General features: G+C 45.5%; 1 long non-coding RNA gene across 1 annotated transcript in view; it reads left to right on the forward strand.

The window, feature by feature from the left end:
• Nucleotides 1-12,676, forward strand: part of LOC102724960 (uncharacterized) — a 66,649-nt gene extending 53,973 nt beyond the window's left edge. Inside the window, exon 3 of the long non-coding RNA XR_945224.3 lies at nt 12,599-12,676. This is a non-coding gene — a long non-coding RNA (uncharacterized LOC102724960). The remainder of the gene's footprint in view (nt 1-12,598) is intronic.
• Nucleotides 12,677-14,398: the final 1,722 nt, after the last annotated feature.

Here is a 14,398-nt window from a genome sequence, read left to right on the forward strand (position 1 = left end):
CCAAAGCCATTTTCTAAGTCTTGCTAAATTATTTTCCAGAAATGGTTTGTTAATTAGACTTCCACCCATACATAAGAGAGTGCCCTTCATTACTGAACATTTTTTAATTGCTAATTTAAACTGTTAATTTAATAAGTAAAAAATATCTTAGTGTCATTTAATGTTTAAATTGCACCTCTTTTTTTTTGTGTGAGCTTTAATACTTTTACATTCACTTATTAGTTATTTGTCTTTCTTCCTTAATGACTTGACTGCTTATGTCTTTTATTCATTTCATTGTGGCAGTTGGTGTTTTTCCTTTTAATTTACAAGACTTCATTTCATATTAAAGATTTTCATCTTTATTGTTCCTATTTCTTACACATATTTACTCCAATTTGTCATTTCTCTTTTGTATCATTTTTCTAATTCTGCATAACAAATCCCCTTAAAACTTAGTGTTCTAAACAACAACAAAAAAGTTACTATTGCTTACAAGTCAATGGAGCAGCAGGCCATATCTGATAACTTGGATCAGGCTTGGCTGATCTCAGCTGGGCTCATTCACGTGCGTGGGTCAGCTAGTGCCATGGCTGGGGAAAGGTTGGTCTAAGATGGTCTCACTCACACGCTGGCTGTTGGCTTGCTGTCCACTGGTGCAATGGGGATTAGTGGACCCTGTTACTACCATACCTTTTGATTGAATTTGTGTTGTTTTTGGTATACATTTAAAATTTTGATATATTCAAATTTGTCATTTTTTCCTATGTGATTTCTTTATCGTTTTTATATTTGTAAAATTCTTTCCCAGTCCCCAAGGTCTGATAAATATGTACTTAAGTTTTCTTTTACGATTTCATTCTTTTATATTTCATTCTTTTATCTCTTATACCTCTCTTTTATCCATCAGAAATTGAGGGATGTGAAGCATAAGAGAGAAAAAGTGGTATCTTTTCCTCACCCATTGCTAGGTTCATGGCTGACACTCTCATAACAAAAGATGCATTAACAAGAGAGAAGCATAATTTTTTTTTTTTTTTTTTTTTTTGAGATAGGGTCTCACTCTGTCACCCAGGCTTAAGTGCAGTGACGAGATCATGGCTCACTGAAGCCTCCACCTACTGGGCTCAAGCAATCTTCCCACCTCAGCCTCCCAAGTAGCTGGGACTACAGGTATGTGCCACCGCATCCAGCAAATTTTTGTTTCTGTTTTTGAGACAAGGTGTTGCTCTGTTGCCCAGGCTGAAGTGCAGTGGTATAATCTTGGCTCACTGCAACCTCCACCTCCTGGGTTCAAGTGATTTTCCTGCTTCAGCCTCCCAAGTAGCTGGGATTATAGGCACAAGCCACCACGCCCAGCTACCTTTTTTGTATTTTTAGTAGAGACAGAGTTTCAACATGCCGGCCAAGCTGGTCTCAAACTCCTGACCTCAAGTGATCCACCCACCTTGGCCTCTCAAAGTGCTGGGATTACAGCACGTGAGCCACCACGCTTGGCCAAATTTTTGTATTTTTTTTTTTTTTTATAGAGACAGAGTTTTGCCATTTTATCCAGGATGGTCTTGAACTCCTGGGCTCAAGCGATCCTCCCATCTCAGCCTCCCAAAGTGATGGGATTACAGGCATGAGCCACTATACACAGCCAGCAGAACATATTTATTTAATATAAATGTTATGTAACACAGGAGCCTTCAGAAATAAAAACCTGAAGAATTAGGAATATTTGTGTATTTGTATGGACAGTCGTGCAGAAGTATGATTGGAGGACAATCTAATGGTAAAAAACTGGGGAGGGCCAGGCACAGTGGCTCACACCTGTAATCCCAGCACTCTGGGAGGCCGAGGCGGGTGGATTACCTGAGGTCAGGTGTTCAAGACCAGCCTGGTCAACATGGTGAAACCCCGTCTCTACTAATAATACAAAAATTAGCCAGGCATAGTGGTGCATGCCTGTAATCCCAGCTACTTGGGAGGTTGAGGAAGGAGAATTGCTTGAACCCAGGAGGCGGAGTTCACCCAGTTGCAGTGAGCCGAGATCGCGCCATTGCATTCCAGCCTGGGCAACAAGGAGAAACTCCATCCAAAATAACCCGCTCCCCCGCTCCCCACAAAAAAACTGGGGAGAATTTAGCATGATCCATTTGTTCAGATTCTTCTTGGCACCCCACTGTGACATTTCTTCCCTCTGGGTATAGGGCAAGACACCTGCCACATGAAGGTCTTCGGGGAGAAGGGAGGGAGAAAGTCAAAGAGTGACTTTTCTCGGTTTTATGGCCTGCTTCACGGAAAAAGGGTTGAGGGGAGTTCTAGTTTCTGTGGCCTTGCTTCAGGAGAGAGGGGGCGGGGGAAGGTCAGAGAGACCTTGCTACTGTGATTTTTTTCAATTTCCTTCAGCTTAAAAAATACTCAGTATGCCAAGGTGTCATATTTTGGGGTATTGTGTTTTGAGCCTCATCAGAAACGGGAATTTAAATGGCTGTTTTTCCACATGTAGTTAACCAATTATTCAAGCACTGTTTATGGAATACTTTGCCTTTTCTCATGAATTCGAGATATCATCTTCATCACAGAGTGAATTATGATTCATCCTTGGGTCTGTTCTGGACTCCTGCCTTTGTCCCATGGATGTGTCTATCTATGGGTTCTTGTACTGCCTAAATCTATAGTCAAGGAGTGGCAGGAACTCAGGGTTGAGGTGAGATTATCACCATTATGACTACAATTTAAGTTCGTTTGTATAGCCCTTCTGAAGCCCAGAGCTCAAGCTGAGTGCTGAAAGTTCAGGAGGGAGGCCAGGCGAGGTGGCTCACGCCTATAATCCCAGAAGTTTGGGAGGCCGAGGCGGGCAGATCACCTGAGCTAAGAGTCCCAGACTAGCCTGGGCAACACTACGAAACCCCATCTCCACCAAAAATACAAAAACATGGCTGGGCGTGGTGGCATGCACCTGTGGTCCCAGCTACTCAGGAGGCTGAGGTGGGAGGATCACTTGAGCCTGGGAGGCAGAGGTTGCAGTGAGCTGAGATCACACCACTGCACTCCTGCCTGGGTGACAGAGTGAGACCTCATCTCAAAAAAAAGGAAGGAAGGAAGGAAGGAAGGAAGGAAGGCAGGCAGGCAGGCAGGCAGACATGGTCGAGGTAGAGGTGGAGAGTGGGGGTGAGGAGAGGTGTCAGAGGTTGGGAGTCGGTATTGATCCAGACGTCTCAGGGGGCAGAAGTCTCTGAGCAGAGGAAGGGCACTTAAGATGAATATTCTAACCCAATACTTGTGTGGGAGCAGAAGAACGAACTACAATTACAAATTTGATGAAAAGAGAAACTCTTGGCTTTCCCCACCATTATCTGAGGTACCCAAGACACTTCTGCAAGACTGAAGTCCCAAAGAACCATGTGATCATCCCACACACATAGGAACTAACTGTGCAGTGTAAAAAGGCAGGCTTGTAGTCTTTCACCCGTGGCAGAACATATATTTATTGATTCACCTTTGAGTAACAGGTTTAGTAAAGATTGTCAATTCTCTGGGAAGATAAACATGAAGTAATTTTTTTACCCCAATAAAATCAATCAATTATGCTCTGTGGAACCTCTCTTTCCCACTGGGTAGCAGGCTCCATTAGCTACATATATCCCAGTCTGATTCTACAACTTTTCATTTTAGTTATCACAACAGTTTCTCTCCAGTTATTAAGATTCAACTCTGTTCAATGTAAAATTTCATTCTTATATTGGATTCAAAGCTTTCCTCCTCGCCTCTAGTGCAGACTAGACTCATGGCTTTAAAAGATTTGGGAGTGGCGGGGTGGAGACATGGTCTACTTCTCTCCCACCCGATTCTTGCCTGTGCTTTCCCCTGTAGCTTTGGGGGAAAAGGAAGAAAAGAGAAAGTTGAATATGTTCTTTTGTGATTGCCTATGGCAGAATTGTTGGTCTCCATGGCTTAGCAAGTGGTCCCCAAGACTTGCCCTGGCACTAAATGCCCAAGCAGCTCCCAGGGGTCCCTTGGGACATGTGGCCTTCCTCTTCCAGCTGACCCCAGCTGATGGCCTCGTGCAACATCTCTCCAATGCCTACTTCTCTTTGCCCAACACGTGACCATCCTCTGCCAAGTCCCCAGCTCCAAAACCTGAGCCTGTGGGCAGACTGATACATTCTTTGTACCTTTTAGCAACCAGGAGCTTGAGAGAATAATTCTACTCATACCTCACATCATCCCATTACATTTCCATTTTATAGAAACTTCCTTCTGACCCCAGTGCCAGCTTCCTATAGATCTCAGAGCTGTCGATGGCCCCTGACTCCACATACTAGTGTGGGCTCTTGATGATCCAAATGTCCCCAACATAGAAGTCATATTATATGTACTCCGGCCAGTTGAGTTATGAAGCATTTGTCTCACCCTAAGATCTTAAGATTCAATCGAGATATGAAGTCACCTCTCTAAGGCCACCCACCAAATCAGCACCATGTTCAAATTAGAATGTAAAGTGTCAGAATCTATGAGCAGGTTTTTTTCCATTGGGCTAGGATTGCTTAGGCTTCTAGGAAAACAGGAGCTAAGTCCCTGGGCTTTGGGGTCAGATGGCTCTGTCTGAGGCCTGGTTGAACCACTTCCTAGCTGGGTAAATGTTGTTGTTGCTGTTGTTGTTGTGTGAGAGAGAGAGTCTCACTCTGTTGCCCAGGCTGGAGTGTAGTGGCTCGATCTCAGCTCACTGCAACCACTGCCTCGCAGGTTCAAGCGATTCTCCTGCCTCAGCCTCCCGAATAGCTGGGATTATAGGTATGCACCACCATACCCAGCTAATTTTTGTATTTTTAGTAGAGACAGGGTTTCACCATGTTGCCTAGGCTGATCTCGAACTCCTGGCCTCAAGTGATCTGCCTGCCTCAGCCTCTCAAAGTGCTGGGATTACAGGTGTGAGCCACTATGCCCAGCTCACCTAGCTGGGTAATTTTGAACAACTTTCTTAGCCCCTCATAGTTTCAGTTTCCTCAACTGTAAAATATGGATAATAATAATAGCATCTACTTTACAGAATCGTTTTATTGCCTAGATGAGATTCTACAAGGGAAGCCCCAGTGTCTGGTGCCTAAGGAGTTCTCATGAATGGTAGTTATTGTTCTAAAAAAGAGAGCATCCTCAGGCTACTGATAATTCAAATCTGTCCAAATGTCGCTGCCTCGCAGATGGTTGAATTGTGTGTCGTTGGGGTTAATTCCCAAGCAACGTACCCAGTGTGCTCTGTTGCCTCCACCTCTGTGGGGACTGTCCCACTCAGGGGCTGGGACGGCATGGGGGCAGATGTGAGGAGAAGCTTCTACAGCTACTGTGTGTGCATAATCACATTAATTTGCAAAAAATTAAAAATAAAATAGAAAATAAATTGGCTGGGTGCAGTGGCTCACACCTATAATCCCAATGCTTGGGAGGCTGGGGCCAGAAAGTTGCTTGATCCAAGGAGTTCAAGACCAGCCTGGGAAACATAGTGAGACCCTGTCTCTACCAAAAAAAAAAAAAAAAAGAAAAAAAATTAGCCAAGTGTGGTGGTGTGCACCTGTAGTCCTCGTTACTGGGGAGGCTGAGGTGGGAGCCTGCAGTGAGTTATGATCGTGCCACTGCACTCCTGCCTGGGCAACAGAGCAAGACCCTGTCTCAAAAATAATAATAATAAGGCTGAGCACAGTGGCTCACACCTGTAATCTCAGCACTTTGGGAGGCCAAGGGGGGTGGATCACCTGAGGTCAGGAGTTGGAGACAAGCCTGGCCAACATGATAAAACCCTGTCTCTACTAAAAATACAAAAATGAGCAAGGTGAGGTGGTGTGCTCCTGTAGTCCCAGCTACTGGGGAGGCTGAGGCAGGAGAATCGTTTGAACCCAGGAGGCAGAGGTTGCAGTGAGCCGAGTTTGCGCCACTGCACTCCACCCAGCCTGGGCAACAGAGTGAGACTCCCTCTCAAAAAAATAAATAAATAAGGCCAGGTGCAGTGGCTCACGCCTGTAATCCCAGCACTTTGGGAGGCCGAGGCAGGTGGATCACAAGGTCAGGAGATCGAGACCATCCTGGCTAACACGGTGAAACCCGGTTCTACTAAAAATACAAAAAATTAGCTGGGCGTGGTGGCAGGCGCCTGTAGTCCCAGCTACTCAGGAGGCTGAGGCAGGAGAATGGCGTGAACCCGGGAGGCGAAGCTTGCAGTGAGTCAAGATCGTGCCACTGCACTCCAGCCTGGGCGACAGAGCGAGACTCCACCTCAAAAAAATAAATAAATAAATAAATAAATAAATAAGAATAATAAAGAAAAAAAGAAAAAACAAGTGAACTTTTTTTTAATGTTTTCCAGCTGCAGAGGCCATGTACTAGAAAACTCTTGAAATATTATTCAGTGTTTCTCAATACTTAAGCTGACTGCCTTCTGACAAATTGCCAAGTAGTGGTCAGAATTTAATTCACACCAAAAGAGAACACAAAGATTATGAGACAATTGACCCTATAAAAATGCATTCGTGGCATGCTCTTTAGTCACTTTGCATCTGCTCTCAACCCACCCTCCAGGGCTCTTATGTCACACTTATTTCCAGATAAATGGCCCAATTAGAAACCTATTGGCTAAGGTTGTACTAAAGGCAATGACCCTGCACACCAGAATCTCGTCCTTCTTAACATCACCCTTAAGCCAAAGCACAGTGGCGTGTGCATTCTCATTCCTGGACAAACTCTGCCCCCTGGCGCTGACTCACACACTTGCGCACCGGCGAGGAGGGTCTCCTTTGTTAGGTTTCCTCATGGGACAGGGATAGAAGAGCCTGTCACCCCCACCTGCCGTCTCCCCAAACCCCTAATTGCCATCAGTCTGCTCCACACAGATAATCCACCAAAAGGCTCCGAGTTTGTTTCTGCTCCGTGTATTTGAAATGAGTCTACCACATCAATCTCATTCTGTGTTAAAAAGTGTTTCTCAGCAGATGAGTAGGGATAAAATCTCCATGGGAGAAAGTGAAGGAGATGCCTGATCTGTCCAGGGCTTCCCGGGTCAGTGGCGCTTCGGCCAGAAGCCAGGCAGCAGGCCTTGGGCAGGTGGCTGGACCCCTTCTGTGCCACGGTATCTTTGTCTGTGAGATGAGGGGGGCAGTCCCCACCATACTGTGTTTACACAATAGAGGGAGAATTTAGGTGGTGACTGTGCTGTAGTAAAAAGAACAGAGGGTGTGGAAATAGGGGATTTGGGTCTAAACTCTGGCTCCAGGCCAGATGCAGTGGCTCACACTATAATCCCAGCACTTTGGGAGGCTGAGGCAGGAGGATCGCTTGAGCCCAGGAGTTTGAGACCAGCCTGGACAACACAGTGAGACCTCATCTCTACAAAAAATACAAAATTAGGTGGGCGTGGTGGTGCCTGCCTGTAGTCCCAGCGACTCAGGAGGCTGAGGTGGGAGGATCACTTGAGCCTGGGAGGCAGAAGTTGTGGTGAGCCATGATCGTGCCACTGCCCTCCAGCCTGGGTGACAGACTCCCTCTCAAAATAAATACATAAGTAAGTACAATAAATAAATTAATTAATTAATTAATTTCAGCTCTAGCTGTGGAACCTTGGACTAGAAATTCACTGTTCTCACTGTTCTCTAGAAATTCACCATTCCCTTGAGTTTCCTATCTTATAAAATGGGATAGTGACTTGCCCTGCTAGTCACTTTCTCGAGAAGAGACACCTCCAACTGCAGCGGGTGTGGCGCAGCCTTTCCCTCCAGGCTCCAGGAGCCCCTGCCTCCCAATCGGAAGGAGAGTTGTTTCAGATGAATATTCCTAGGTTTTAGCCCAGGAGGTTGAGTCAGAATCCTGCCTCAGAGGCGTGGCAGGAGAAACAAAATAATGAACCCCCAAAGGTGTCCATGTCCCGGTTCCCAGAACCTGCAAATATGTGACCTTGCATGGGAAAAGGGCCTAACAGATGCGACTAAATTAAGAATCTTAAGATGGGGGGATTATCCTCGATTACCCCGGTGGGCCCACTGGATCATGGGGGTCCTAACAAAGGGAAGAGGGAGGCAGGAGAGGCGGAGATGTGATGAGGAGAAGGGATTGGAGGGAAACACCACGCACTGAGGATGAAGGTGGCCTTGAACGCTGGAAAAGGCGAGGAAGAGATCCTCCCCCAGAGCCTCCAGGAGGAACTCAGAGCTGCCAACACCTCACTCCCAGCCCTGCAAGACCCACTTTAGGACTTCTGACCTCTAAAGCTGTAGATGATTAATCCGTGTTGTTTTAAGCCACTAAGTTTGTAATTATTTGTTTCAGCAGCTCTGGGAAGCCAATATGGCGCCATGGAGGGGCTCCTAGATCTGCATTTTTGAGTGACTCCTGGTAGAATTGTTAGGCATGCTAAATTTTGAGGGCTAGAGGTGTAGTAGGAAGAGACTGAGGAACAGGAGGTCTGTATTTCTAGCCCTGGCGTCATGAGCTATGTGACTTCGGCAAAGTCACTGCCTCATTCACTGGGCCTCAGATTCACTGTCTGTAAGCTGAGGCAGTTGGCTACAGGGGGCAGAGGGGAAGAGATCTCTGGCTGCAGTATTCTGAGAAGCTGAGAGAAAACAGTGAAGCTCTTTGAAAACAGTGAAGTCTGGCCAGTGTAGATCTTAGGACTGGGATTTCCTAGAAGAAAGAGATACTGGTAATTCTTTTAACAGCTCATTTTTATACCTCTCTTCCTGTGTGCCAGGTCTTGGTCTAAACCCTTCCCTTCCATGAACTCCTGTCTGTGAGGTCATCTTGGCACAGCAATCAGTCTTCTATGCGATGAATAATTAACTGCTCTGAGGAGATGATTTCAAATCGGGAGTCAGATCAATAAGCTACTAAGGGGGGATGGGCGGGTGGGCACCATCTTCAGCTAATGAAGGGGGCGATTCCCTGTCTCCGCTATGAAAAGAAAAATGTCACAGACATTACATGCCGCCTGAGGGGTATGGATAGAAGGGGGAAGGGGCTGCGGTTGCCAGGCAACCGGCTCATCACTAATCATGCGCGTAAAAGCCTTGGGCCTCTGTTATGAGCACAGCTAGTGGGCCACCCTCCTTCTCTCCGCCCCCTGCTTGACAGCTGGCCTTGGGTTCTGGTTCCAGACACTTAGACCCTGAAACAGGCCCAGGTCCCCCTCAGTATCCCCGGGTCGATTCTGTTGCTAGAAAGCAAACTGGGAGAGCAAAGACTCTTTGTGTCCACTCCAGACGACAAAGGTCTGGCACCCATATTCCAGGACACTCTTTCCTACACCATGGCCTTTTGAATGAGCTGTCACCCCAGAGGCTTACTTAGATTTGAGGAAAATCCCTTCCTGACCCCTCCATTCAAGGGAGGCTCTTGCTGTTTGCCGTGTGGATACTGAGCAAACACGTGGGTCCCCAGGCTGGCTCTTGATGTGCTCTGTAAACACTCCTCTCTGGATACAGCCAACTGTCCAATTATGCAGGAGTCAACCCGCTTCCCCTGGGGATTTGTTGTCTTAAAGAACGAGGACCCACTGTGACTAGAAAGTTGACATAGCACATGTCACACAGAGAAAGTGCACCCCCGGTGGAAGCCGGGGTTCCCTGGGGGCCCAGCCGTCTTTCCAAACAGAAGGGCAGAAGGCTGTTTGATCTGTGACCACTTCTGGAACATATAGGCTCAGGAACAGCCAATATTAGAAGAGATGTTTGCATCTGTTTCCTTCCAAGACACACAGGCTCTCTAAGAGAAAGGAGGATGGCTTTTGTGCTACGGGGACAAGCGCTATGTTTGGGACGTGGTACTAGAATTGTCAAAGGGCTGCCTTGTCCCAGAAAGTTATTTCAGAGAGAAGTCATTACACCCATTGGCTAAAAAGAGACAGGCATCACTGAGAATGTTGGATGTCCCAACCCATTTCTCTTCTACAGTTCACACCACCCCCAGCAGGCCCAGGCAGCCTGCACTGTGCCCGAGAACAGTTGATGCAGGGACACATTCCAGCGCCGGCCTCAGTCCCTTTCCCTCTCCCTGCTTCAGCCGCACTGGCTTCCTCACTCTTCCTCAATCATACCTATGTCAGCTCTTTGCACTTGCTGTGTCCTGGATACTTGCACCCCTGATATCTGGATGACACGAGACTTTCCCTGGCCACCACCCCATGTAAATAATAGATACGCCAACCCCATTTACCCTTTCCATGTGCCATTTTTAACTTTCTTCAAGCACTGCACCTCTTTTTCTTTCTGTGTAGCGGACTGTTTGTCCATCTATCTTACTTGTTTATTGCCTGTTTCATTCTCTAGGGTGTAAGTTCCAGGAGGGCAGGACACTTGTCTGCTCTATTAACTGCTGCACCCCTGGCACCTGCCACTGTGCTCGGCACAAGGCCAGCCCTCAACTAGCATTTGCTGAGTTGATTAGGATTCCTGTGATCCACTCTGTACCAGGAAGACACTGGGCTCTTTCTTACATCCTCACACCCAGAGCCTCTCTCTGGAGGCAGTGGATGTCATGAGTTTCCGATAGATCCTTACAGATACTTCATGCTTATTCAGAAAGATACACACACAGCTACATTCTTCCTATCTTTTTTTTTTTTTTTTTTTTTTTTGAGGCAGAGTCTTGCTCTGTCACCCAGCCTGGAGGGCAGTGCAACAATCTCAGCTCACTGCAGCCTCTGCCTCCTGGGTTAAAGTGATTCTCCTGTCTCAGCCTCCCAAGCAGCTGGGATTATAGGCACCCGCCACCACACCTGGCTAATTTTTGTATTTTTAGTACACAGGGGATTTTGCCATGTTGGCCAGGCTGGTCTTGAACTCCTGACCTCAGGTGATCTGCCTGCCTCGGCCTCCCAAAGTGCTGGGATTACAGGCATGAGCCACCGTGCCCAGCCCCACCTGTTCTTTTTAAAGCGTAGTGTACTTTATATATCTTCTATATATTGCTGTTTTCACTTGTATATCTTGAAGATTATTTCATGTCCATTTAAACAAAGCTCCCCCATTCTTCTCTATGGCTGAGTAATATTCCAATATATGGATATCTAGTAATTTATTTACTTGGCCACTCTAGATGGACATGTAGGCTATCTCCCATCTTTTGTTATTACAGAGTGTTGGAAACAATCTTGTATATACATGTCATGTCATTCATATGTGACCATACCCATAAAATACATTCTAAGAAGTTAAACTGCTGCATCAAAGGGTATATGCACTTATAATATGAATAGAAATTGACAAATTGCTCTCCACAGAAATTGTATCTCTACCACTACCAGTGATTTTTAAATTTTTTATTTTTGAGGCAGGGTCTCGCTCTGTCACCCAGGCTGGAGTGCAGCAGTGTGATTATAGCTCACTGCAGCCTCAAACTCCTGGGCTCAAGGGATCCTCCTACCTCAACCTCCCGAGTAGCTGGGACTACAGCTGTGCACCCCAATGCCTGGCTAATTATTTTTATTTTTTTATTTTTTATTTTTTGTAGAGAGGGGGTTTCACTATGTTGCCCAGGGTGGTCTTGAACTCCTAGGCTCAGGCAATCCTCCTGCCTCAGCCTCTCAAAGCTTTTGGATTACAGGCTTGAGCCACCGTGCCAAGCCCCACCAACAATTTATGAGACACTTTGTTTCCATACATCCTTATCAAACTTTCTTTTATCTTTGCCAGTTGAAAAGTGATATTGCGGCCAGACGTGGTGGCTCATGCCTGTAATCCCAGCACTTTGGGAGGCCGAGGTGGGCGGATCACCTGAGGTCAGCAGTTCGAGACCAGCTTGGGCAACATGGTGAAACTCCATCTCTACTAAAAATACAAAAAATGAGCCAGGTGTGGTGACAGGCACCTGTAATCCCAGGTACTTGAGGGGGCTGAGGCAGGAGAATTACTTGAACCCAGGAGGCAGAGGTTGTAGTGAACTGAGATTGTGCCACTGTACTCCAGCCTGGGTGACACAGCAAGACTTTGTCTCAAAAAAAAAAAAAAAAAGTGATATTGCAGAGTAATTTTATTTTTCATTTTCTTACTCAAAGATTTAATATTTTTACCTATATCTAGGAGGCATTTCTATTTCCTTTCTTATGAACTACCTAATTTTCTATTAGATTTTGGGTTTAAAAAATCAATTTATAGGAGTGCTGATACATTAGGAAAATTATTTTTTGGCTATGAGTTACACATGTTTTCCCTATGTGTCATTTGTCCTTGCATAAAAATCATTAGATGTTTTCTGCCTCATAGTTTTTTTAGTCTAATGTATTCATCTGTGTATGTATGTATGCATGTGGAACTGCCACTTTTAAATTTGCTTTTTAAATACTTTATCATATGTCATTATCCTTTTAGCTGTATTATTGGAAAGTGCATTTTTTTATTAGTTACATTTAAATTGGTGCTTCCTGGATGGGGTTTGAGTATACACTCTCAACTCTTGATGAATTGAGGGGCTACCTTATTCCTTGAGGACTCTTGTGAGATCTGGGAGGCACCCAACCTGTGATTACCCTCATCCATTTGATGCTGGCTCTTAAAAATCTCAGTTACAGAGAGTGACATGTTTTTGACTCTTTTTCAGGATTCTGGAACATACCACCTGTTTTAGTCTTTAATCATCTCTCCACTCATTACAGGTGCAGAAGGTTGAAGCAGCTGGAAACATCTGTTCCCAGAGAAAAGGAGCCCCTCTCTCCTGTCACTCTCCATGACAGGAACCCATCATGCAGTATCAACCTCAACGAGCCTGTCCTCCCACACTCAGCTTTTCACATCCTCCATCCTCAGTGTCCCCACCTGTCTCCCTCTCTACCTGCTTGCCATGATTCCTCGGCTCTCAGCCCCTGTTCTAGGGAGGCTGGCCACCTACATCTCTTCACTGTAGCCTGCGTATGGGAGCTATTCCAGTTAGTGGGGCCTGAATAATGGGGTGCTCTTTTAAAGACAATGAATGCAAAATTGCAGGCCAGGCCCAGTGGCGCATGCTTGTAATCTCAGCACTTCGGGAGGCCTAGGTGGGAGGATCCCTTGAATCAGGAGTTGGAAAACAGCCTGGGCAACATAGCAAGACCATCTCTACAAAATAAATAAATACATAAAGCAGGCATGGTGGTGCACACCTAGCTACTTGGGAGGCTGAGGTGGGAGCATGTCCTAGCTACTTGGGAGGCTGAGGTGGGAGGGTCATTTGAGCCCAGGAGCTTGAGGCTGCAGTGAGCTATAATTGTACCACTACATGTAGCCTGTGTGACACAGTGAGACCTCAACTCTTAAAAAAAAATTATGAATACAAAATTAAATATCAAAATGAATAGAATTAGAAAATACATTATAACAGGCCGGGCGTGGTGGCTCATGCCTGTAATCCCAGCACTTTGGGAGACCGAGGCGGGTGGATCACGAGGTCAGGAGATCGAGACCATCCTGGCTAACACAGTGAAACCCCATCTCTACTAAAAATACAAAAAAATTAACCGAGCATGGTGGGGGGCACCTGTAGTCCCAACTACTCGGGAGGCTGAAGCAGGAGAATGGCGTGAACCCGGGAGGCGGAGCTTGCAGTGAGCCGAGATTGCACCACTGCACTCCAGCCTGGGCGACAGAGCAAGACTCTGTCTCAAAAAAAAAAAAAAAATTAAAACAAATCACAAAGCTTAAAAGCCCGCAAATACCAGAAAAATACAAAATATAGAAAAATAATATGAGTTTGTGTTAATGAATTATCTGACACACTTCTACAGACTTTTTTCATTCCTTTTTGGATGCATGCTCTTTGACTGTCTCTTCATGTGACAAGAAGTTTGAAATACCATTATCCATAAAGGGAATAGAAAGAGATTTCAGGCTGTTTTCTAGCATGGTTGATAGTTTAGAAAAGTTTATTTTAGCTTCACAATCTGTTATTGGTAATGTCTTGCTAAGACATAGTCCAATACATTAGGATATAGGAATCACGCAATTTTACACAAAAACATACTCACTATTTGCTTTAATTCTGTGGGTTTATTATCAGGTTCCACAGAAATCCTAATAAATTTAAATTTGTACAATTTCCATCAAAAAATGAAAAAAAAATGTATAATGTGTCTAGATAGCTTTATCTAGTATATTCCAGACAGGAAAGAATTTCAATTCTGACCAGAAATAAAGAATCCAACTGTCCATTTTACAAGTTTGATGATTGTAAGAATTTTTCAACAGACTGGCCTTTGGCCCCGTTCATTTCCAACTTGTTTCTCATCCATTCCCCATGTGTTTCTGGTGGCCAGCACTGTGGGGCACATTCATACTCCAATATGACCTCTTGCCCTGCACCTTCTTGTTATGAGGCTGGATGGGTCAGTGCAGAAAGAGCAGAGCTTTTCTCTCTTTTTTTGAGACGGAGTTTCACTCCGTCGCCCAGGCTGGAGTGCAGTGGCACAATCTCATTTCACTAC

The sequence above is a fragment of the Homo sapiens genome, chromosome 12 (genome assembly GCF_000001405.40).
Source record: "Homo sapiens chromosome 12, GRCh38.p14 Primary Assembly".
NCBI lineage: Eukaryota > Metazoa > Chordata > Mammalia > Primates > Hominidae > Homo > Homo sapiens.